The sequence below is a fragment of the Homo sapiens genome, chromosome 15, assembly GCF_000001405.40.
Source record: "Homo sapiens chromosome 15, GRCh38.p14 Primary Assembly".
Classification (NCBI taxonomy): domain Eukaryota; kingdom Metazoa; phylum Chordata; class Mammalia; order Primates; family Hominidae; genus Homo; species Homo sapiens.
In genome coordinates this window covers 43,531,668-43,557,655 of record NC_000015.10, presented here as the reverse complement: position 1 = coordinate 43,557,655, position 25,988 = coordinate 43,531,668, and the positions used below count along the sequence as shown (strand labels likewise).

The 25,988-nt window shown below is 43.4% G+C and overlaps 1 protein-coding gene across 56 annotated transcripts in view; it reads left to right on the top strand.

Moving 5' to 3' along the window:
- The window catches only part of PPIP5K1 (diphosphoinositol pentakisphosphate kinase 1), a 56,779-nt gene extending 32,598 nt beyond the window's left edge, over window positions 1-24,181 (top strand). For 55 of the 56 annotated variants that reach the window (XM_047433387.1, XM_047433384.1, NM_001354396.2 and 52 more), the window contains 2 exons: window positions 18,073-18,186; window positions 22,180-24,181. In XM_047433387.1, coding sequence (XP_047289343.1) covers window positions 18,073-18,186; window positions 22,180-22,982 — 917 coding nt within the window. In that variant the 3' untranslated portion in view covers window positions 22,983-24,181. Of the gene's footprint in view, window positions 1-18,072; window positions 18,187-21,401; window positions 21,522-22,179 lie in introns of all 56 variants that reach the window. The other variant, NM_001190214.2, reaches the window with a different exon arrangement.

Below are 25,988 nucleotides of genomic sequence, written 5' to 3'. Positions count from 1 at the left end.
GAGAAGAGAGAGAGAAAAAACCCTGAAAAGAAGAGCAGTGAGCAAATACTAGCCCTACCACATTTTAAATCATTCTATAAAATCTCATTTTAGTTTTGATTTTTGCAGTCGTAGCTTATTGCAGCCCAGAACTCCTGGGCTCAAACGATCCTCCTGCCTTGGCCTCTCAAAGCACTGGCATTACAGGTGTGACACAAAGACTTTTTTTGAGACAGAGTCTCACTCTGTCACCCAGGCTGGAGTGCAGTGGCAGGATCTCAGCTGACTACAACCTCCATCTCCTGGGTTCAAGCAGTTCTCCCTGCCTCAGCCTCCTGAGTAGCTGGGATTACAGGGACAAGCCACCATGCCTGGCTAATTTTTGTATTTTTAGTAGAGATGGGGTTTTGCCATGTTGCCCAGGCTGGTCTTGAACTCCTGACCTCAGGTGATCCACCCCCCCTTGGGTTCCCACAGTGCTGGGATTACAGGTGTGAGCCACCACACCCAGCCAGAAAGACTTTTCAGTAAATGGACGGGGGGTAAATTGAATAGGCATTTGACAAAAATTGAAATTGAACCCACACTGTATACCAGGATAAACTCCATATGGATCGGAAATCTAAACGTAAAAATTAAATCATGTGTTAAGTAGGTAGCTCCAAGGGCTTGTTCATCCACAGAAACACCAAAAAGTAAGAAAAAACTGCTAGAACCAACATTGTGAGAACTCTGGAGAATAGTAAAAGATTTTCAGTAACCAGGAAAATGCTGAATCCAGAAAGAGGCAACCTAAAAATGGCAGAAAAGCTTTGCAGCATTTTTACTCACTCTTGCCCCACCCTGCCTCCCTGGCTTTGTTGTGCTCTTGAAGATGACAGCCCACGTTCTCAATGTAGGACCCTGGTTCCTGGTTCCAGAGGGAGCGGAGAAGACCTTATTCTCAAAGAATTTTCTCTGTTCTAATTTGTTGGTGGGCTACTTGAAGGATTGACACAAAGTGCCTACATTTGTTTTGCCTAACTCTAACTTATTCAGGGCAGAAAAGTGGCTGTGCAGAGAGCATTCCTTAAAAACATTGTAAGGCAAATGAACAACCTGTGCCTGGCCTCAGAATGCATTTTTTTTTTTTTTTTGAGATGGAGTTTCATTCTGTCACCCAGGCTGGAGTGCCACCATGCCCGGCTAATTTTTGAATTTTTAGTAGAGACAGGATTTCGCCATGTTGGCCAGGCTGGTCTTGGACTCCTGACCTTGGGTGATCCACCCACCTCGGCCTTCCAAAGGTGCTAGGGTTACAGGTGTGAGCCACAACACCTGGCCAGAATGCACTTTTTTTTTCTTTTTTTCTGTTTTTTGAGATGGAGTCTCACTCTGTTGCCAGGCTGGAGTGCAGTGGCACGATTTTGGCTAACCGCAACCTCTGCCTTCCAGGTTCAAGTGATTCTTCTGCCTCAGCCTCCCGAATAGCTGGGACTACAGGTGCGCACCACCACGCACAGCTAATTTTTGTATTTTTTTAGTAGAGACAGGGTTTCACCACGTTGGCCAGGATGGTCTTAATCTCTTGACCTCGTGATCCGCCTGACTTGATCTCCCAAAGTGCTGGGATTACAGGCATGAGTCACTGCGCCCGGCCCAGAATGCACTTTTTAAAGTGTCCACAAGAGACTCTATTTATTTATTTAGTGTTGAATTGGTTTATTTTCTAATTTGCTGTTCTTAAATATTTTTATAGAAAATAGAATATTACTTAAAGTAAAAATTTTAAGGCCAGGCATGGTGGCTCACGCCTGTAATCCTAACACTTTGAGAGGCCAAGGAGGGTGGATTGCCCAAGCTTAGAAGTTCGAGACCAGCCTGGGTGATACGGTGAAACCTCGTCTCTACTAAAATACAAAAAATTAGCCGGGCATGGTGGCATGCACCTGTAGTCCCAGCTACTTGGGAGGCCGAGGCAGGAGAATTGCTAGAACTGGGGAGGCAGAAGTTGCGTGAGCTGAGATCGTGCCACTGTACTCCAGCCTGGGCAACACAGCGAGACTCCATCTCTAAAAAATGGTAATAATAAAAACAAACAAACAAAAATTCAGCCAGGCATGGTGGCTCACACCTGTAATCCCAGCTCTTTGGGAGGCTGAGGCTGGCAGATCACTTGAGTTCAAGAGTTCAAGATCAGCCTGGGCAACATGGCAAAACCCCACCTCTACAAAAAAATAAAAATAAAAATAAAATTAGCCAGGTATGGTGGCATGTACCTGGGGTCCCAGCTATTTGGGAGGCTGAGGTGGGAGGATCACCTGAGCCTGGGAGGTGAAGGTTGCAGTGAGCCGAGATTGTGCCACCACACTCCAGCCTGGGTGATAGACTGAGACCGTGTCTCAAAACATAAATAAATAAATAAAAATAGAAAACTCCAACAGTTTTCTAATTGAAAGACTATTATAATAAGGTGAGCAGAAGAAAAGCAATCAAGATTTAGGAAAATATAATAGTGTTTTGTGTTTTTAATTTATTAATTTATAGTTTATACTTTTAACGCCTGGGCATGGTGGCTCACGCCTGTAATCCCAGCACTTTGGGAGGCCAAGGAGGGTGGACCACTTGAGGTCAGGAGTTCAAGACCAGCCTGGCCAACATGGGGAAACCTTGTCTCTACTAAAAAATACACAAATCAGCGAGGCATGGTGGCAGGCACCTGTAATCCCAGCTACTCAGGAGGCTGAGGTAGGAGAATTGCTTGAACTTGGGAGGTGGAGCTTGTAGTGAGCCAAGATCGTGCTACTGGCCTCCAGCGTAGATGGCAAGAGAGAAACTCCATCTGAAAAAAAAAAATTATTATTTACTCTAACAATGTCAATATTTAATTATAATTATAATATCAATTATAATTATAAACAAATGAAAAGTCTAATAAGACAGACTTCCAACTTATACCTTGAACTGTAATTTTAGTAATATTCTCTCATGTTGTTTTGTTTTCTAACAGATTCCACCTTTCCTTGTGCGTGCCTGCGTGTGTGTGTGTGTGTGTGTGTGTGTCTGTGTGTGTGTGTATGCCAGGTGTCTTATATTTGAGAAGAGTCTCACATTAGGTCCGAAGACACAAATAGGTTGAAAGTAAAAGGATAGAAAAACATATTCTGTGCAAATAGTAACCAAAAGAGAGCTGAAGTAGCTATACCAGTATTAGACAAAATAGTCTTTAAGTAAAAAAATTGTTACAAGAGGAGCGGTGCAGAGGTGCATACCTGCAGTCTTAGTTACTTGGGAGGCTGAAGTGGGAGGATTGCTTGAGCCCAGCAGTACTCCAACTGGGGAACATAGCAAGACCCTGTCTCTTTAAAAAAAGTTGTTACAAGTAAGAGAAAGTCATATATTGATAATGAGGTCAATTTATTGGAAGATAAAACAATTATAAACACATACCAAATAACGGAGCCCCAAAATACATGACACAAACATTGACAGAATTGAAGGAAGAATTCTACAATAGTAGTTGCAGACTTCAAAACCTACTTTTATTTATTTTATTTTTAGAGACAGAGTCTTGCTCTGTTGCCCAGGCTGGAGTGGTGTGATCATAGTTCACTGCAGCCTTGACCTCCTAGATTTAAGTGATCCTCCTGCCTCGGCCAAAATGCTGTTGTTGCAGGCATGAGCCACTGTGCCCAGCCAATACTCACTTTTAATAATGGACAGAACAACTCGTCGGAATATTAGTAAGGAAGTGGCCAGGCGAGGTGGCTCACACCTGTAATCCCAGCACTTTGGGAGGCTGAGGCGGGTGGATCACAAGGTCAGGAGATTGAGACCATCCTGGCTAACATGGTGAAACTCCATCTCTACTAAAAATACAAAAAAATTAGCCGGGCGTGGTGGCGGGCACCTGTAGTCCCACCTACTCGGGAGGCTGAGGCAGGAGAATGGCATGAACCCGGGAGGTGGAGCTTGCAATAAGCCGAGATCGCGCCACTGCACTCAAGCCTGGACAACAGAGTGATACTCCGTCTCAAAAAAAAAAAAAAAACACACAGAAAATTAGTAAGGAAATCCCAGCACTTTGGGAGGACAAGAAAGGATAAGCAGGAGTGTCGCTTAAGCCCAGGAATCTGAGACCAGTCTGGGTAACATAGTGAGACCCTGTCTCTACAAAAAATTAAAAATTTAATTGGGCATGGTGGCACATGCCTGTAGTCCCAGCTATCCGAGGGGCTAAGGTGAGAGGACTCCTTGAGCCCAGGAAGTTAAGGCTGTTGTAGTGTGTTGTGATTGTGCCACTGTACTCCAGCCTGGGTGACAGAGTGAGATCCTGTCTCTATTAAAAAAAAAAAAAGAAGAAGAAAATTAGTAAGGAAATAGAACACTACAAACCAACTCGACCTAACAGACATATGTAGACCATTCCATCCAACAACTGCAGAATGCAGATGCTTCTCACATGTACATGAAATATCCTCCAGGATAGACCATATGTTAGGCCACAAAACAAGTATCTATAAATTTTAAAAAGTTGAAGTCATACAAAAGACCTTCTCCAACCACAATGGAATGATGCTAGAATTAATAACAGAAGAGAAAACTGGAAAATTCACAAGTATAGAAATTAAACAACATATTCTTTTTCTTTTTTATTTTTTTGAAACAGATTCTCACTCTGTCGTCCAGGCTGGAGTGCAGTGGCATGATCTCAGCTCACTGCAACCTCCTGCATTCAAGCGATTCCCCACCTCAGCCTCCTGAGTAGCTGGGACTACAGGCACGTGCCACCATCCCCAACTAATTTTTGTATTTTTAGTAGCGACGAGGTTTCACCATGTTGGCCAGGCTGGTCTCAAACTCCTGACCTCAGGTGATCCACCTGCCTTGGCCTCCCAAAGTTCTAGGATTATAGGTGTGAGCCACCACGCCTGGACTCCTTTTTTATTTTTAATTTTTGTGGGTGAAACAACATACTTTTTTTTTTTGTTTTTTTTGAGACAGGGTCTCACTCTGTCACCCAGGCTGGCGTGCAGTGGTACGATCATGGCTCAGTGCAACCTCGACCTCCAGCTACTCACCCCCTGAGTAGCTGGACTACAGGCACACACCACCACACCCAGCTAATTTTTGCTTTTTTCTTTTTTTTTTCTTTTTTTTTTTTTTTTTATAGAGACAGAGTTTCACCATGTTGCCCAGGCTGAGCTCAAGAGATCTGCTGGCTTCGGTCTCCCAAAATGCTAGGATTACAGGCATGAGCCACTGCGCCCAGCCAACAACATACTCTTAAATGACAAATGAGTCGAAGAAGAACTCACAAGGGAAATTAGATTATACTTTGAGATGAATGAAAATGAAAACATGCCAGATGGTATGGGATGCAGCAAAATTAGTGCTCAGAGAGAACTTTATAGCTATAAATATTTAAATTTAAAAAAAGAAGGGCCAGGTGTAGTGGCTCACATTTGTAATCTCAACACTTTGGGAGGCCAAAGTGGGAGGATTGCTTGAGCCCAAGAGTTCAAGACCTGTCTGGGCAATATAGTGAGACTTCATCTCTACAGAAAAACTTTAAAATTAGCCAAGTGCGGTGGTGCAAACCTGTAATCCCAGGTGCTTGGGAGTCTGAGGTGGGAGGAGAGCTTATGCCTGGAAGGGAGAGGTTGCAGTGAGCTGAGATTGTACCATTGCATTCCAGCCTGTCTCAAAAAAAAAAAAAATCTGAAATCAATAATCTAATTTATACTTTATGACACTAGAAAAAGAAGAGTAAACTAAACTCAAAAAGCAAAAGGAGCCGGGCGTGGTGGCTCACGCCTGTAATCCCAGCACTTTGGGAGGTCGAGATGGGCGGATCACGAGGTCAGGAGATCGAGACTATCCCGGCTAAAACGGTGAAACCCCGTCTCTACTAAAAATACAAAAAAATTAGCCAGGCGTAGTGGCGGGCGCCTGTAGTCCCAGCTACTTGGGAGGCTGAGGCAGGAGAATGGCATGAACCCGGGAGGCGGAGCTTGCAGTGAGCCGAGATCCCGCCACTGCACTCCAGCCTGGGCGACAGAGCGAGACTCCGTCTCAAAAAAAAAAAAAACTGAATCAAGAAGTAGAAAGTCTAAACACACCTGTAACAAGGAAAAAATTAAATTATTATTATTATTATTGTGGGTTTTTTTTTTTTTTGAGACAGAGTCTTGCTCTGTTGCCTAGGCTGGAGTGCAGTGGCATCATCTCAGCTCACTGCAATCTCTGCCTCCTACATTCAAACGATTCTCCTGCCTCAGCCTCCCAAGTAGCTGGGATTACAGGCACTGCCCACCACACCCAGCTAATTTTTGTATTTTTAGTAGAGACGGGGTTTCGCCGTGTTGGCCAGGCTAGTCTTGAACTCCTGGCCTCAAGTGATTCACCCGCCTTGGCCTCCCAAAGTGCTGGGATTACTGGTGTAAGCCACTGCGTCCAGCCAAAAAAGATTAGTAACAAAAACCTCCAAAAAACAAAAAGTCTAAAACCAGATGGCTTCACTGGTGAACTCTACCACATATTTAAAGAAGTAACTCAGTCTACTCACGCTCTTCCAAAAAAATTGAAGAGAAGGAAACATTTTCTTGAGGTCAGATAACACATTTCAGATGACACCATAGGAGAAGAAACCAATATCCCTTAATTATAGAGGCAAAAGTCCCGAACAAAATGCTAGCAAACCAAATCCGACAGCACAATAAAAGAATTATACACCAGGGCTGATGAGATTTATCTCAGGAATGCAAGAGTGATTCAATACAAGAAAACTGGTCATTGTAATACACTACATTATTAGAAAGAGAGAAAAAAACACAGTCATCTAAGTTGACACAGAAAAACATTTGACAAAATCCAACACCCTTTCATGATAAAAACACTCAGCAAACTAGGAATAGAAGGGAACTTAATGAACATGATAAAGGGCATTTATGAAAGCCAAAGCACACATCATACTCAGTAGTGTAACACTGAAGGCTTTCCCTCTAAGATTTGGAACAAGACAAGAATGCCGGCTTCAACCACTGCTATTCAACATTCGTACCAGGAGTTTTAGGCAAGGAAAAAAAAATATCCAAATTGGAAAAGAAAAAATAAAAGTATTTCTGTTCACAGAGGACATGGTCCCAAATATAAAATCACAAAGAAGTCTCAAAAGAAAACAACAATAAAAAAGCGGCTATTAAAGCTAACGAACAAATTTAGCAGAGTTGCAGGTTACAGGATGAACTCAGACTGGGCGCAGTGGCTCACGCCTGTGTTCCCAGCATTTTGGGAAGCTGAGGTGGCAGGATCACTTGAGCCCTGGAGTTTGAGACAAGCCTGGACAACATAGGGAGACACTCTCTCTACAAAAAAAATAAATAAATAAATAAATTAGCCAGGCATGTTGGTGCGCACCTGTAGTCCCAGCTAATTGAGAGGCTGAGGGAGGAGGATGGCTTGAGCATAGGAGGTCAAGGTGGCAGTGACTGGTGATCGCATCACTGTACTTTAGCCTGGGTGATAGAGCAACACCCTGTCTCAAAAAAAAAAGAAAGAAAAAAGAAAGATCAACTCACAAAAATCTTGTGGGCCGGGCTCAGTGGCTTGTACCTGTAATCCTGGCACTTTGAGAGGCTAAGGCGGGAGGATCATTTGAGGCCAGGAGTTCAAGACCAGTGTGGTCAACATAGCAAGACCTTGTCTCTATAAAGTAATTTTTTGCTGAGATAGGGTCTTATTCTGTCACCCAGGCTTGAGTGTAGTTGTGCCATCATGGCTCACTGCAGCCTTGACCTCCTGTGCTGGAGCAATCCTTCCACCTCAGCCTCCCAAATAGCTGGGGCTATAGGCATATACCACCACATCCAGCTAATTTTTGTATTTTTTGTAGAGATGGGGTTTTGCCATGTTGCCCAGGCTGGTCTCGAATTCCTGGAATCAAGTGATCCTCCTACCTCAGCCTCCCAAAGTGCTGGGGTTATAGGCATGAGCCCAGGCTTACAAAATAAATTTTTTAAAATTTGTATAAAGATTTTTTTTTTAAGACAGGTTGTTGCTCTGTTGCCCAGGCTGGAGTGCACTGGCATGATCTCAGCTCACTGAAACCTCTGCCTCCCAGGCTCAAGTGATCCTCCCACCTGAACCTCCCAAGTAGGTAGGACCACAGGCATGTGCCACCACGGCTGGCTAATTTTTTGTAGAGATGTGGTATTGCCATATTGCCTAGGCTGTTCTTGAACTGGCTTCAAGTGATCCTGCCACCTCGGCCTCCCAAAGTGCTGGGATTACAGGCATGAGCCACGGTGTCTGGCCCAATTGTGTTTATATACACCAGCAATGAACAACTGAAAAAGGAAATAATAAAAACAATTCTATTTTCCATAGCATTCAAAAGAATAAAATGCCTGGGAACAAATTTAACCAAGAAGTTGAAAGATTTGTACACCAAAAACTACAAAACATTGCTGAAAGAAATTAAGGAAGGCCAGGTACAGTGGTTCATGCCTGTGATTCCAGCACTTTGGGAGGCTGAGGCAGAAGGATTGCTTGAGCCAAGAAGTTCAAGACCAGCCTAGGCAACATAAGGCCCTGTCTCTACAAATTATATATATGTATATATATATATATATATATATATTTTTTTTTTTTTTTTTTTTTTTTTTTTTTGAGATGGAGTCTCACTCTGTCACCCAGGCTTGGGTGCAGTGGCGCAATGTCCACTCACTGGAACCTCCGCCTTCCAGGTTCAAGCGATTCTCCTGTCTCAGCCTCCCGAGTAGCTGGGATTACAGGTGCTTGCCATCATGCCCAGCTAATTTTTTTCTAATTTTAGTAGAGACAGGGTTTCACCATGTTGGCAAGGCTGCTCTCGAACTCCTGACCTCAGGTGATCCACCGCCTTGGCATCCCAAAGTGTTGGGATTACAGGCGTGAGCCACTGCACCCGGGGTCTACAAATAATTTTTAAGAAAACTTAACTGGGTGTGGTCGCATGTGCCTCTTATTCCTAGCTACTTGGGAGGCTGAGGCAGGAGGATCACCTGAACCTGGAAGGTCAAGACTGCAGTGAGCCATGATTGCACCACTGTACTCCAGCCTGGGCAACAGAGTGAAACCCTGTCTTGCTTAAAAAAAAAAAAAACAACGCAGGGTGCGGTGGCTCACACCTGTAATCCCAACACTTTGGGAGGCCAAGGCAGGCAGATTGCTTAAGCTCACAAGTTCAAGACCAGCCTGATCAGCATGGAGAAACCCTGTCTCTACAAAAAATTAAAAGAAAAAAAAAAAGCCTGGGTGTGGTGGCTCATGCCTGTAATCCCAACACTTTGGGAGGCTGAAGCAGGAAGATCATAAGGTCAGGAGTTCAAGACCAGCCTGTCCAACATGATGAAACCCTGTCTCTATTAAAAAATAATAATAATAAAAAAAATAGCCAGGCACAGTGGCGGGTGCCTGTAGTCCCAGCTACTCAGGAGGCTGAGGCAGGAGAATTGCTTGAACCCGGGAGGCGGAGGTTGCAGTGAGCCAAGATCGCGCCAGTGCACTCCAGCCTGGGTGACAGAGCAAGACTCCATCTTGAAAAAAAAAATTAGCTGGGTGTGGTGATGCATGCCTGTAGCCCAGCTACCAGCACTCTAGCCTGGGTGACAAAGTGAGACCCTGTCTCAATAAAGAAAAAATTAAAGAGGACCTATATAAATGGAAAGGCATTTCATGTTCATGTTGAAGACATGATATTGTTAAGATGGCAGTATTCCCCAAAGCGATCTATGGATTTAATGCAATCCCTATCAGAATTTTAATGTCTTTTCTTCAGAAATGGAAAAGCTGACTCCTCTAATTCATAGGGAACTGTAAGAGGGCCTGAACAGCCAAAAGAATCTTGAAAAAGCAAAACAAAACTGGAGGACTCAAACTTCCTAATTTCCAAATGTATTGCAAAGCTATAGTAATCAAAACAGTGTGGTATTGCTGTAAGTATAAACATATAGACCACTAGAATAGAATCAAGAGTCCAGAATTAAACATCTATGGCCAGTTGATTTTCAACAAGGATGTCAAAACTATTCAATGGAGAAAGAATAGTCTCTTCGATAAGTGGTGCTGAAACCACTAGGTATTCACATTGCAAAAGAACTCATTCACCCCTACCTCATATCATATGAAAATATTAACTCAAAATGGATCAATGACCTAAGTATAAGAGTTAAAATTATAAATCTCTTAGAAGAAGTCGTAGAGTAAATCTTAATGACCTTAAATTTGGCAATGGATTTGTAGAACAAAAGCATAAGCAACAAAAGAAAAAATAATTAGACTTCACCAAAACTAAAAATATTTGTGCATCAAAGGATATTATCAAAAAGTAAAATAACAACTACAGAAAGGGAGAAAATATTTACAAATATTATATCTAATACGTACAGATGATAACAACAACAAAAAGACAACACAGTTTAAAAAGGAGCAAAGGACTTGAATTGACATTCTCCAAAGAAGACATGTAAATAGCTAAGAAGCACATGAAAAGATGCTAACTCTCATTAGTTTAGGGATATACAAATCTAAACCACAGTGACATACCACTTCATACCCACCGGATAGCCATTAAAAATAAAGAAAAGAAAGTGTTAGTTAGGATGTGGACAAACTGGAACTCTCATACAGTGCTAATGGAAGTATAAAATAGTACAGCTACTGTGGAAAACAGTTTGTTCCTCAAAAAATTAAACATAGGCTGGGCACAGTGGCTCATGCCTGTAATCCCAGCTCTTTGGGAGGCCAAGGTGGGCGGATCACTTGAGCACAGGAGTTCAAGACCAGCCTGGGCAACATGGTGAAACCTTGTCTCCACAAAAAAATACAGAAAGTTACCTGGGCATGGTGGTGCACACCTGTAGTCCCAGCTACTCAGGAGACTGAGGTGGAAGAATCACCTGAGCCCCAGAGGTTGAGACTGTAATAAGCCAAGTTCATGCCACTGCACTCCAGCCTGGGTGTCAGAGTGAGACTCAAAAAAAAAAAAAAAAAAAAAAAAAATTGAAAACAGGTACTCAAACAAATACACACAGATGTTCATGGCAACACTATTCACAATAATCAAAGCTGAGGATGATGGCTCACACCTGTAATCCCAGCTCTTTGTTAGGCCAAGGCAGGAGGATTGCTTAAGACCAGGCGTTCAAGACCAGCCTGGACAACATATCTCTACAAAATAGGAAATAAAAAAATTAGCCAGTCATGGTGGTGTGCACCTGTAGTCTTAGCTACTCTGGAGGCTGAGGCGGGAGGATCACTTGAACCCAGGAATTCAAGGTTACAGTGAGCTACGATCACACCACTGCACTTCAGCCTTGATGAAAGAGCAAGACCCTTTCTCAAAAAGTCAAAAGGTAAAAACAACTGAAATGTCAATGAATAGATAAAATGTAGTATGTACATACAATGGAATATTACTGAGCTATAAAAAGGAATGAAGTACCGATACATATTAAAATGTGGATGAACCTTAAAAACATTATGCCAAATGCAAGAAACCAAACACAAAAAGTCACATATTGTATGATTTTATTTATATGAAATATCCAGAATAAGTAAATCCATAGAGACGGAAAGCAGATTGGTGGTTTCCAGGGTTTGGGAGTAGGATGGAATGGAGATTGACTTCTTTTTTTTTTTTTCCCCATAAAGTGAAAGCAAGTTTATTAAGAAAGTAAAGGAATAAAAGAATGGCTGCTCCATAGGCAGAGCAGCCGGGATTGACTTCTTAATGGATATGGGGTTTCTTCTGGGGTGACGAAAATGTTTTGGAACTAGATAGAGGTGGTGGTTGCACAGCACTGTGGGTGTACTAAATGCCACAGAATTATACAATTTAAGATGGCTAACTTTTATGTTATGTGGATTTCACCTCAATAAAAAAAATTAAACCATGCAAGTACTAAAAGTAAGCAGGGTGTTAGTGGTAAATTCCTTTATCATCTGAAAGTAAGGAAAGCCTAATTCTGACTCAAAGTCAAACTTGTGAAGCAAAAAAAAGATTGACAAATTAGGCCAGGTGCAGTGACTCATGCCTGTAATAGCAGCACTTTGGGAGGCCAAGGCAGAAGGATCACTGGAGCCCAGGAGTTCGAGGATGGAGTGAGCTGTGATTGTGCTACTACACAATCAGCTACTACTACCTGAACAACCCCATCACTAAAAAAAAAAAAAAAAAAAAGAAGTGTACAGAGAAAGAAATGCAGATAGCCATTGTACATATGAAATTATGCTTAACCTTCCATAAGAGGTATGCAAATTAAAACTACACTGAGATATTATTTCTCACCTGTTAGATTGGAAAAAATCCAAAAGTTTGACAATATACTCTCTTGGCAAGTCTGGTGAAACTAGAAATCCTGTACATTGTTGGTGGGGGTACAAAATGGTACAATCTCTATGGAGGTACATTTTGTAGTATCTCACAGAATTATAGTTAACCTCTGATCCAATAATCCACTTTTTTTTTTTTTTTTATGAGACGGACTCTTGCTCTGTCGCCCAGGCTAGAGTGCAGTAGTGCCATCTCGGCTCACTGCAAGCTCTGCCTCCTGGGTTCACGTCATTCTCTTGCCTCAGCCTCCTGAGTAGCTGGGACTACAGGCGCCCACCACTACACCCGGCTAATTATTTGTATTTTTAGTAGGGACGGGGTTTCACTGTGTTAGCCAGGATGGTCTCGATCTCCTGACCTCGTGATCTGCCCACCTCTGCCTCCCAAAGTGCTGTAATTACAGGCGTGAGCCACCACGCCCGGCCCCAATAATCCACTTTTAAGAATCTATTCTGAAGCCATTTCTATGCAAAGTTGAAATAACATTTGCTTATTTATGTGTTTTTTTAGAGACAGGGTCTTGCTCTGTCACCTAGGCTGGAGTACTGTGGTATGATCATGCCTGGAGAACAGTGGCATGATCACTGAAGGCTGGAATCCTGTGTTCAAGTGATCCTCCTGCCTCAGCCTCCCAAATAGCTGGGACTACAGGCATGTGCCACCATGCCCAGATAATTTTTAAAATTTTTTGTAGAGACAAGAGTCTCACTTTATTGCCCAGGCTGGTCTTGAACTCCTGGCCTCAATGACTCTCCTGCTTAAGCCTCCCAAAGTGCTGGGATTATGGATGTAAGCCACTGCTCCCAGCCTGAAATAACATTTATATACAGTTATTCATTGGGACATTATTTAAAGTGGCAAAATATTGGAAATGACTCAGAAGTTCTTTAGTGCAAGAGTAGTTGAAAAAGCTGTGGTGTGTCCACTCAATTGAATACTATGCATCTGTTAAAACTAATGAGGAAGCTCTATATGATCTAATATGAAATAATCACCAGGATATATTATTAAGTGAAAAAAACAAGATGTAGAATAGTGTTAATAGTATGTTACCTATATTGTAAGTAGAGAGGGGAAATAAAGAAAAAATACATATATATTTACAAAAAATACTTGCTAGAAGTATAAACCAGAAACAAAATTTATTACCTCAGATTTAACAATAGGGAATGGGGCTGAAGGGCATGAAGGAAATGCAGTTTCTCTGAGTGTGCCTTTTTGTATAGCTTTGACTTGTGAGCCTGTAAATGTTTTTCAAAATATAAAGTTAAGAAAAGAAACAAAACCTAAAATTGCAAAAAAAGAAAGAAATGACCCTAACTGTATATCAAAATAGTAACATAACCACATGGGTAAAATAATTTTTCAATAACTTTAGAATACTTTATCAGTTCTTTGGTGGGACAAAAAGAACTATAATTGTAATCCTTATTCAGTAGTTTAATTGTTAATAGTGATATTGATACTACAGTGATATTGATACTATGTATATAGTGTGTGAATATATATTTTATATATATATATATATGCATTACAGAGTAGCAAATAAGGAATTATGTTCCTGTTATTAGGAACGAGGATTTTCAAAGTAAGATAAATTAGATGAAAGTATAAATTCAAAAGACTTTTAAAATACTGTAATGATAAATATGAATTGGCAATATCAATATGAATTCTGGTTTTTAAGTGCTTTTTCTAGTACTATGCATTGGCAAATGTAGCATGAGCTCCTTTAGCAACTAGATTTTGGTCTCTATGTACCATTATCCACTAAAAGTAACCAGGATTCCATGGGGAAATAACTTGATTTTTGGTCTAGAGCAGGGTTTTTTTAAAGCTTTGTAGAAATTACTCTCCATCCCAGGAGTTTTTTTTTTGTTTTGTTTGTTTGTTTGTTTGTTTGTTTATTATACTTTAAGTTTTAGGGTACATGTGTACAACGTGCAGGTTTGTTACATATGTATACATGTGCCACGCTGGTGTGCTGCACCCATTAACTTGTCATTTAGCATTAGGTATATCTCCTAATGCTATCCCTGCCCCCTCCCCCCACCCAACCAGCAGTTTGTTTAGAATTTTTTTTCCTAATTACCTCCTACCACATGAAATTTTAACACCACAGATATATCATATATCTGTTTATGTATTGTGACCATTTACCATTGGAATAGCTAAGATTTTGTTACCCCCACCAAGAACCAATTTTGTTTGGAATGCATGGCTGAGGGCAAAGAAAGCCCAGGATGATCTTGCAGCATGTTGTAAAGGAAAGCAAGGAAACAATCAAGCCCAAAGAGGCTCCCAGTGACCAAAATTGGGACAATTTGGGCATTAAAAAGAATAATTATGTAGTTGATTGAAGTACACTGAATGTAGCTACTCAGGAGGCTGAAGTGGGAGTATCGCTTGAGCCTAGGAATTTAGACCAGCCTGGGCAACATAGCTAGATCTTATCTCTAAGAAAATTAAAAAGTTAGCCAGGCATGATGGCACACACCTATAGTCCTAGTTACTCAGTGGGCTGATGTTGGAGGATTGCTTGAGCCCAGGAGTTTGAGGCTGCAGTGAACTGTGCTAGCATCACTGCATTCCAGCCACTGACAGAGTAAGAGCCTGTCTCTAAAACACACACACACACACACACACACACACACACACACACACACACACACACTGAATATATATAATAAAAATCCACAAGCTCATAATGAATGAAAACAAGAGCTGGGTGCTAGGTGAGGTAGCTCATGCACCTGTAATCCCAGCACTTTCGAAGGCCAAGGCAGGGGAATCACTTGAGTTCAGGAGTTCGAGACCAGCCTGGGCAACATGGTGAAACCCCATCTCTACAAAAATACAGAAATGAGCTAGGCATTGTGCTATGCGCCTGTAGTCTGAGCTACTCAGGAAGCTGAGGTTGGAGGATCGCTTGAACCTGGGAGTTTGAGGCTGCAGTGAGCTGTGATCGTACCACAGCACTCTAGCATGGGTGACAGAGCAAGACTCTGCCCCCCCCCCCCGCCAAAATTAAGTAAATAAGACAAATTAATACTCATCCAGCACTATTGGAAAATATTTTTCACTAACTCTCTACTCTGAAAACCAATTAAAGGGAAATAAACATTCTGCCTTTTCAGTGAGAACTGTAGTTCAGTATAATCAAATAGTCCCATTTGCAGAAGGAAAGCTCTTCTTTACAGAGAATATGCCAGTTGATGGTGGAGAACTAGACATTCCTCAAAGGATCACCCCTAATCAGAAGGGGAAAGCTTCACAATGAGATCTTGTTGGTGCCACCTTAACCTAGTTAGTAAACTTAGCCTTACTTATAATGGGACAATGAGGCAATATGCCTCCAGTATGATGCAATATACAGCACATGGGATCACCTCTTAAAGTATTCTTAACAAAATTATTTAACATAAATCAGTTAAGTTAGATCAATTTCCAGTTAATAGGAAATACAAGGGATAGTGAAATAAGTTAAATGATTCTATGTGGAAACAATTAGACAAGTCCAGAATGTGGGACATGACCTTCTGCAAAGACAACTGGCCTGTTCTTTTCTCTTTTCTCTCTTTTTTTTTTTTTCTTTTTTGAGATGGAGTCTTGCTTTGTTGCCCAGGCTGGAGTGTAGTGGCATGATCTTGGCTTACTGCAACCTCTGCCTCCCGGGTTCAAGGTTCAAGTGATTCTCCTGCTTCAGCCTCCCAAGTAGCTGAGATTACAGGCGCCCACCACCACGCCTGGCTAGTTTTTGTATTTTTTGTAGAAATGGAATTTCTCCATATTGGCCAGGCTGGTCTTGAATTCCTGACCTCAGGTGATCTACCCGCCTCGGCCTCCCAAAGTGCTGGGATTACAGGCATGAGCCACCGTGCCTGACCTTCTTTTCAAAAAGTTACTATGGGCTGGGGATGGTGGCTCACGCCTGTAATCCTAACACTTTGGAAGGCTGAGGCGGGCACATTGCTTGAGCCCAGGAGTTCAAGATCAGCCTAGGCAGCATGGTAAAAGCCCATCTCTACTAAAATACAAAAAATTAGCCAGGAGTGGTGATATGTGCCTGTAGTCCCAGCTACTCAAGGTGCTGAGGTGTGATGATCGCTTGAGCCAGGAGGTCAAGACGGCAGTGAGCTGTGATCACACCACTGCACTCCAGCCTGGGTGACAGCGAGACCCTGTCTCAAAAAAGTTACTATGAAAAAAGGAGAGGCTGCACTATTCTAGATTAAAAGACACTTCAAAGACATAACGAGATGCAGTGCATGGTTCATGTTTGGATGCTTTTATAAAAGACATTTGGGGGAATAATTGGGAAAATTTGAATATGGACTGGGTATTGAATGATACTAGGCAATAATTTTTAATTTTGTTTAGCTTGTTAATGGTGTTTGGCTATGTTGGAAAAATTTCTTTATATATATCTTTTCTCTTCTCTTTTTTTTTTTTTTTTTTTTGAGACAGAGTCTCTCTCTGTCGCCCATGGTAGAGTGCAGTGGCACAATCTCTGCTCACTGTGCAACCTCTGCCTCCTGGGTTCAAGTGATTCTCATGCCTCAGCCTCCCAAATAGCTGGGATTACAGTCATGTACCACCACACCCAGCTAATTTTTTTTTTTTTTGAGACAGAGTCTTGCTCTGTCGCCCAGGCTGGAGTGCAATGATGCGATCTCGGCTCACTGCAACCTCTGTTTCCTGGGTTCAAGCAATTCTCCTGCCTCAGCCTCCTAAATAGCTGGGATTACAGGCATGTGCCACTACACCCGGCTAATTTTTGTATTTTTAGTAGAGACGGGGTTTCACCATGTTGGTCAGGCTGGTCTTGAACTCCTGACCTCGTGATCTGCCTGCCCCGGCCTCCTAAAGTGCTGGGATTACAGACGTGAGCCACTGTGCCCGGCCTTAATTTTTACATTTTTAGTAGACGGGGTTTCTCCATGTTGACCAGGCTTGTCTTGAGCTTCTGGCCTCAAGTGATCCACCCACCTTGGCCTCCCAAAGTGCTGGTTTACAGGCATGAGCCACCACACCCAGCTGGAAAAATATCTTATATTTTATTATTATTATTGAGACAGAGTTTCACTCTGCCACCAGGCTGGAGTGCAGTGGTGCGATCTCAGCTCACTGCAACCTCTGCCTCCCAAGTTCAAGCGATTCTCAAGCCTCAGCCTTCCAAATAGCTGGGATTACAGGCATGTGCCACCATGCCGGCTCATTTTTGTATTTTTAGTAGAAATGGGGTTTTGCTGTGTTGGCCAGGCTGGTCTTGAACTCCTGGCCTCAAGTGATCCACCTGCCTCGACCTCCTAAAGTGTTAGGATTACAGGCATGAGCCACTGCACCCAGCCATTTCTTATATTTTAGAGATGCATTTTGAAGTATTTAGAGGTGACATGTTTCATAATGTCTGTCATTTATTTTAAAACACTTTAGCATGCAGAAATAGATGAAACAAGTATGGCAAAAATGTCAGTGTGTTAAATCTAGGAGACGGGTATATGGGCATTGACTGCAGCAGTCTTTCAACTACTTTTTAAAAATATATGTTTGAAAATGTTCATAATATAACGTTTAAAAAATTGAAAATGGTTTGGTTGAAGGGTCCCCAGGAAATGCTACTTCTCAGCCAAGGAAGGGTAAGTTGGCTTTGACTTATGTTGAGAACGTGTGGCTCCTGGATTCTTCCTCATATGTCTTTTTTTCTTCCCTCTCCCTTCACCCTACCTCCTTTCCAGCCCTCTTTGATTCCATGCACAGCAGCCAGGCCTCAGATAACCCATTTTCTCCACCACGTACTCTTCATTCACCTCCCCTGCAACTCCAGCAGCGCTCTGAGAAGCCCCCTTGGTGTAAGTAATCCTTTTGGAACTGCCTAGACAAAAGTCATGAAGACTGGAGTGATTGGTGAATGAGGGGCCTGTTGCATGAGGTCAAAGAAGGTGGGGCTTGAAAGACCAGGAATATCCATTCTGGGAAGCAGTCTCATCTGCCATTTCTAAGATGAAAGGAGAATCTGTTTATTCTCTCTCTTTACCTCTTTACCTCTGTTCTCCATGTTCCTTCTATTTCATTGGAGAGAAGGTTTTCTGCAGTATTAGGAATAATTGTTTTTTTTTTTTGAGAGACAGAGTTTCGCTCTTATTGCCCAGGCACGATCTTGGCTCACTGCAACGTCTGCCTCCCTGGTTCAAGCGATTCTCCTGCCTCAGCCTCCCAAGTAGCTGGGATTACAGGCATGCACCACCACGCCCAGCTAAATTTTGTATTTTTAGTAGAGACGGGGTTTCTCCATGTTGGTCAGGCTGGTCTCAAACTCCCGACCTCAGGTGACCCGCCTGCCTCAGAGGAATAATTTCTAATTTGGAGAGAAGTTCTTCCTCAAAGCGCTCTTTGGGGAAGAAAGAATGGAGACTTCATTCCCCTTTCATCCCTATTTGATCTCTACAGTTTTCTCCAGTAAAGATGACTAGCAGACAACCTAGATATTTAGAAAAGCTGGGAGCAGGAGGCCGGGCATGATGGCTCACGCCTGTAATCCCAGCACTTTGGGAGGCCGAGGCGGGCAGATCACGAGGTCAGGAGATTGAGACCATCCTGGCTAACACGGTGAAACCCCTGTCTCTACTAAAAATACAAAAAATTAGCCGAGCGTGGTGGTGGGTGCCTGTAGTCCCAGCTACTCGGAAGGCTGAGGCAGGAGAATGGCAGAGCTTGCAGTGAGCTGAGATGGCGCCAATGCACTCCAGCCTGGGCAACAAAGTGAGACTCCGTCTCAAAAACAAGCAAACAAAAAAGGCTGGGAGCAGGAGAGACTAGAATCTGCTACTTATTTCTACATAACCCTTCTCTCTGTTGCCTGTTTTCAATTTTTAGTTTAAGTTGAGATGCTGCTTTTTCCCATCTTGTTTATTATCTCTAATCTATCACTAGTTATTTTTGGTAACAATGTGAACAGTGGAGCCACACAGAGTTGTTAGAGTGACTATAGAGAGGAGGAGCTACTGGTGGTAATTGGAGGTGGGAATATGGGCCAGAGGCACTGGTGAAGTATCATCCTGCCTCCGGGGAATAACTGAAATCAAATATGCCTTTCATTATTTTATTTGGATAGGACCGAAGTAAAGATTCTTACTTCATTCAGCATTGGACTTAACAGTTGTAGAATTTTTGCCCTTTTTCTGGCATCCTGTTTGAGGAAGAAACTTTCCTCTCTGACACCAAGAATTCCTCCCCTGAATTTCAGATTATCCTACACTCTTTGTAGGGCCATTGCCCTTTTTACCTGTTTCCTGGAGTGTTTATGATTTCTGTGCCCCTGGAAATCTTACCCTTCTCCCTCTTCTGTTTCTGTTTGACCTTTTTGATTTGCCTGAATCAGACCACTAGCAGGATATTAAGGCTACTTCTTTACTTGGGTAAAGCTCAGCTTACATCTTTTCTTTTTCTTTTTTTCCATCTAGTATCAGATTTTTGACTCAGTATCAGGTGTGTAGCCTCACTGGTAAACGTCTTCTTTAGGGTCTGTATGTCTGCATCAGAAATAGGCTCCACATCTCTTAAAGCCTTGTTGGTTCAAAACCATGATCTTCTCTCTCTCTCTCTCTCTCTCTCTTTTTTTTTTTTTTTTTTTGAGATGGAGTCTTGCTCCGTCACCCAGGCTGGAGTACAGTGGCGCGATCTCGGCTCACTGCAACCTCCACATCCCAGGCTCAAGTGATTCTCCTACCTCAGCCTCCTGAGTAACTGGGATTACAGGCACGTGCCACCATACCTGGCTAATTTTTGTATTTTTAGTAGAGACGGGGTTTTGCCATGTTGGCCAGGCTGGTTTCGAACTCCTGATCTCAAGTGATGCACCCACCTCAGCCTCCCAAAGTGTTGGGATTACAGGCATGAGCCACCGCGTCTGGCTTCTTTTTCTGCTTGAAGCATGCCTCCTTTGATTCTTTTTTTTTTTTTTTTTTTTTTTTTTTTGAGGTGGAGTCTTGCTCTGTCATCCAGGCTGGAGTGCAATGGTGCAATCTCGGCTCACTGCAACCTCCGCCTCCTGGGTTCAAGTGATTCTTCTGCCTCAGCCTCCTGAGTAGCTGTAGCTGGGATTACAGGCATGCGCCACCATGCCTGGCTAATTTTTTTTTGTATTTTTAGTAGAGGAGGAGTTTCACTATGTTGGTCAGGCTGGTCTCGAACTCCTGACCTTGTGATCTGCCCACCTCGGCCTCCCAAAGTGCTGGGATTACAAGTATGAGCCACCGTGTCCAGCCCCTCCTTTGATTGTTTACAGAAGAGAGATAACTAGCATACCTTCAACTCAATGATGGATTGAGCCTTTGTAGGCTCAGGTTTACCAACTTTTCAAGGTTTTCTTCAATGGCAATATGTTCTGATGTTCCCTTTTCCCAGAATCTGTCATTATTGATACCATAGTGCTTTAATATATCGTTATAATATTATCAACAAAAATGATGTTTACCAAGGGAAAAGTAGGTTAGTCAAGTACTAGAGGGCGATGAAGCAGTAGAGGATGGAGTAGGAATCATCCCACAGTGTAATTGAAGACTCTGAGGTCTTTATTACACTACTGTCAGGATGTAGGAAATCAGTTTTTAAATGTTTTCCGTGTATATAATATGCACAAGCCTGTAACATTGTATGTCCCAAGACTTACAAGCGTCTTAACTCTGGATCCATAGATGTGGTTTCAGGGTAGGGTCTGTGAGCTTCAGGAATCACATGTAAAGATTAGTGTGAATATTCTTATATAGATTTTTCCTGGAAGATATCTGACTTAGTACCTCAAAGGGGCCACTGACCCCTAGAAAGGTTAAGAACTGCCATGTAGAAATTCCATGGCCATCTTCCATTTTTGGGTAAACTATTTTCTTTTTTTTTTTTTTTCTGAGACAGAGTCTTGCTTTGTTGCCCAGGCTGGAGTATAGTGGCACAATTTCGGCTCACTGCAACCTCCACCTCTGGGGTTCAAGTGATTCACCTGCCTCAGCCTCCTGAGTAGCTGGGATTACAGACAGCCGCCACTACGCCTGGCTAATTTTTGTATTTTTAGTAGAGACAAGGTTTTGCCATGTTGGCCAGGCTGGTTTAGAGCTCCTGACCTCAAGTGATCTGCCTGCCTCGGCCTCCCAAAGTGCTGGGATTACAGGCGTGAGCCACCGCACCCAGCCAGGTAAACCATTTTCTTTCCTATTGTTCTGATTTACATGGTTTTTCTACATTCTTCTGCCAACTTATCATTTGGGCTATAAATAATGATTACCTCTGCCCCAGAAATACATTGATTGCTTTAAAGAATGATTCTTAACAGAAGGTGTACATCAGATTCAAATGAGAGTGTTCCAACAAAATTATATTGCCTTCTTCCTCCTCCCTCCTCCAAACTACACCTTTACGCTAAACCTATAGAATTAGAATCTCTGGAGTTGAAAACTGGAAATTAGTATTTTAAAAAATTTTTTCATGATTTTGTTTATGAACCACTGGGCTAAAGTATTCATATGCTTCCAAAGTAGGAATGAGAGGCCTTGGGAACTTGGAATTGGGATGGGAGTGTATTTGTGAAAGAACCAGATGAAGTGGGTCTTAGCACTCTCTCCTGAAGTCTTAGATGTACCTTATTGTTACTCTCAAAGTATACATTAGGCCAGGGTGACAGTTCCTGAGGTAAGCAAACTTAGGAGTCTCTGCTTAACTTAGGAAGAATTTGGACACTCTTCCCTCAAGACATAAGTAGCATAGGCCAACAATTCTAGCATTTGAACTATCTGCACAGGGTAGAGCCTACTCTTCCAGCTTCTCTAACTTGATCTCTTGACTTTGCTTTACAGACAGCAGTGGCCCTTCTAGCACTGTGTCCAGTGCTGGTCCTTCTTCCCCTACTACAGTAGATGGTAACTCCCAATTTGGCTTCAGTGATCAACCCTCCCTAAATTCACACGTGGCTGAAGAACATCAAGGCCTTGGGCTGCTCCAGGAGACCCCTGGGAGTGGAGCACAAGAGCTCTCCATAGAAGGGGAGCAAGAGCTTTTTGAACCAAATCAGTCCCCACAGGTGCCACCTATGGAAACCAGCCAGCCATACGAGGAGGTCAGCCAGCCATGTCAGGAGGTCCCTGACATCAGCCAGCCATGCCAGGACATTTCTGAGGCGCTCAGCCAGCCATGTCAGAAGGTCCCTGACATCAGCCAGCAATGCCAGGAGAACCATGACAATGGTAACCACACATGCCAGGAGGTCCCTCACATCAGCCAGCCATGCCAGAAGTCCAGCCAACTGTGCCAGAAAGTCTCTGAGGAAGTTTGCCAGCTATGTCTGGAGAACTCCGAGGAGGTCAGCCAGCCATGCCAGGGGGTCTCTGTGGAGGTTGGCAAGCTGGTCCATAAGTTCCATGTAGGGGTTGGTAGCTTGGTCCAGGAAACCCTTGTAGAAGTTGGCAGCCCAGCTGAAGAGATCCCTGAGGAGGTCATCCAGCCATACCAGGAGTTCTCTGTGGAGGTTGGCAGGCTGGCCCAGGAGACTTCTGCGATCAATCTGTTATCTCAGGGCATCCCTGAGATTGATAAACCATCCCAAGAGTTCCCTGAGGAGATTGATCTGCAGGCCCAGGAGGTCCCTGAGGAGATAAATTAGAAGTCCTGGGTGGTCCCTGAAGTGATTGATCAGCTGCCTGGAGAGGGTATTCCTCAAGCCCAGCATCCATCTGGTGATCCAAACCCTCAGAGCCAGTCTCTAGCCCATGACCAGCACTCACCCCTTCCACCAGCAACATGTGATTAATTTTCTCATTAGTGGTATCACACTATACCAGCCATTTGAGCCAGCAACCTTTTCTGTTGGCTAACTCACTGGCCAGCTCTCACCAGCGGTGTCTGGGGAAGTAGTTCTCTTTGTATGAAGCATACCTGTGCCAGAGCTGTGGTTGAGGAGGAGCCAGTTTTAGGTTCGAAGAAGCCATTGGCTCCTCACTTAGCCATTAGACTTGAATAGGATTTCCTTGGGGTGGGTTGGTCTGTCATTACCCAGCCTTCTCTGAGCATCCTAGGAAATCACAGATTGTTAAAGGAAATGCCGCTTCACTGCTGAAGACACCATCTGGCGACAGCAAATGCAAAAGAGGGGACTCTAGGGTCTTCACTTTTCTGGGGAAATGTTCACGACTTCTCAAGGTACGCTTAGACCATATGTGCATTCAGGGGACTCTTGTCTTTGCCAGCACTCCTCAGGTGAGCCCGGGATGGCTATCTGAAATGTCTGGAAAATAGAGTCCCTTCCCCAAACATCTGACATGGCCACTAAATCTTTAGACTTGCCTTATAGATCCTTCCATATCATCCCCAAGTGCCCCTTCTGCCTCAGTCCTGTTCCTCTGGGCAATAGCTCTAGGGAAAAGTAGGTATTAGACTGCTGTGCAAAATTCAGAGCAACTACTTAAAATGCTCTAGAGGATTCTTAGCCAGTCTGTGAAAGTGGGCCTCCTCTGTGGTGGGGCTGTTTGGCTTAGGAGATGCTGTAGTAGTAGAGATAATCAGGTTCTATTTTAAGCAATCAGCAGAGATCAATATTGTACAGATACAAGCAAAGGTTTAATAAATATATATATATATATTTATTTCTGTAGTTGTGCCAGGGACAGACTGGCCAAAGACCAAACACTGCAGGGTCCCCAAGAAATTTGTCCTTATATCATTGTGTCTGAGGGCCAGATATGATTATGAAGCTTTTTCCAAAGATCCAGGGATGGGAATGGGAGTGGGTAGGAGGGGTAATGCGGTCATTGGAGTCGGGGGCTGGAACATTATGAGTGCTCAATAAATATAAACTAATGAGAATGGTGGTGATGGATGATGGTGATGTCCTTGTGAATTCAAGAATGAATATAGGCTGGGCACGGTGGCTTACACCTGTAATCCCAGCACTTTGGGAGGCCAAGGCGGGCAGATCATTTGAGGTCAGGAGTTGGAGACCAACCTGGCCAACATGGTGAAACCTTGTCTCTACTAAAAACACAAAAATTAGCCAGGCATGGTGGTGGACACCTGTAATCCCAGCTATTCGGGAGGCTGAGACAGGAGAATCACTTGAACCCTGGAGGCAGAGGTTGCAGTGAGCCAAAATCACGCCACTGCCCTCCAGCCTGGGCAAAAATGCAAGACTCTGTCTCAAAAAAAAAAAAAAAGGAATACGACTATGAGTCAATTGTGTCTGTAACTGATTAATCTGAATCGGTCAAAAGCCATTATAGTTGAGCAGGAATGGGCTGTAAAAATACAGAGATCAGGCATCCAAAAATAGACTATAAAAATATAGAGATCAGCTGGGCGTGGTGGCTCACATCTGTCTGTAATCCTAGCACTTTGGGAGGCCGAGGTGGGTGGATCATGAGGTCAAGAGATTGAGACTATCCTGGCCAACATGGTGAAACCCCATCTCTACTAAAAATATAAAAATTAGCTGGGCATGGTGGCACATGCCTGTAATCCCAGCTACTCGGGAGGCTGAAGCAGGAGAATTGCTTGAATCCAGGAGGTGGAGGTTGCAGTGAGCCAAGATCGCGCCACTGCACTCCAGCCTGGTGACAGAATGAGACTCTGTCTCCAAAAAAAAAAAAAAAAAAGAGAGATCAGGCATCCCAAGAGGAGCCTATGGCAGTTAACCCACTATCTCAAAAGGTATTTATTTATTTATTTAGAGACAGAGTCTCGCTCTGTCACCCAGGCTACAGTGCAGTGGTGCGATCTCAGCTCACTGCAACTGCCGCCTCCTGGGTTCAAGCGATTCTCCTGCCTTAGCCTCCTGAGTAGCTGGGATTACAGATGCCCGTCACCACACCCAGCTAATTTTTTTTGTATTTTTAGTAGAGACGGGGTTTCGCCGTGTTGGCCAGGCTGGTCTCGAACTCCTGACCTCAGGTGATCTGCCCGCCTCGGCCTCCCAAAGTGCTGGGATTACAGGTGTGAGCCACCACGCCCGGTCCCCAAAAGGTCTTTATTGAGTAAGTAGAGTGTTGGATGGGGGACTGGAAAGAGGTTCCCTCTCTGTGAAGCACCAGAGGGTACATGCCTTCTCACCAAGTTCTTGGAATCATCCTGTTAATTTTTCACTCTGATGGAGTGTCAGGAGGAGTTTATATAAAGGGGCTATGCCCTTTCTCTGCTCCTTTGACATCTTTACCATGAGAGAGCCCAGAACAGTGGGAGGGCTAGAATATGCCCCTCCCCAAATATACACATTCATAACCTGGCCACTTCTGACATACTTAGGACTATAAAGGGTTTCCATGGAGGAGGAAAGTCGACCGTTTTACTCCATGGAAATCCTGACTGCACAAGGAGAGTTGTTTCCAACCTCATTAGGCTCTGGATCTCTTAGGGTCCTTCAGCTTTTTACCCCTTTAGCCCAAGAGGCTGTCCAGGGTAGCTGATCCTGGTTATTTGGTCCTCAACTCTTGACCCCACGGAATGCATATCCCCTTCCCAGGAGGCCTTCTGCCCCTCTTCCCTCCCCCAGACCAGATGTATGTATCCACCCTAGGCTCCTATTCTTCATACTCAGGCACAAGTGTTTCCAGTAATCAAAAGCATTGGAGTCTTCCAAGATAAATTCAATACTGGTTGAAGCAGAGAGGTAGAAGCCAGG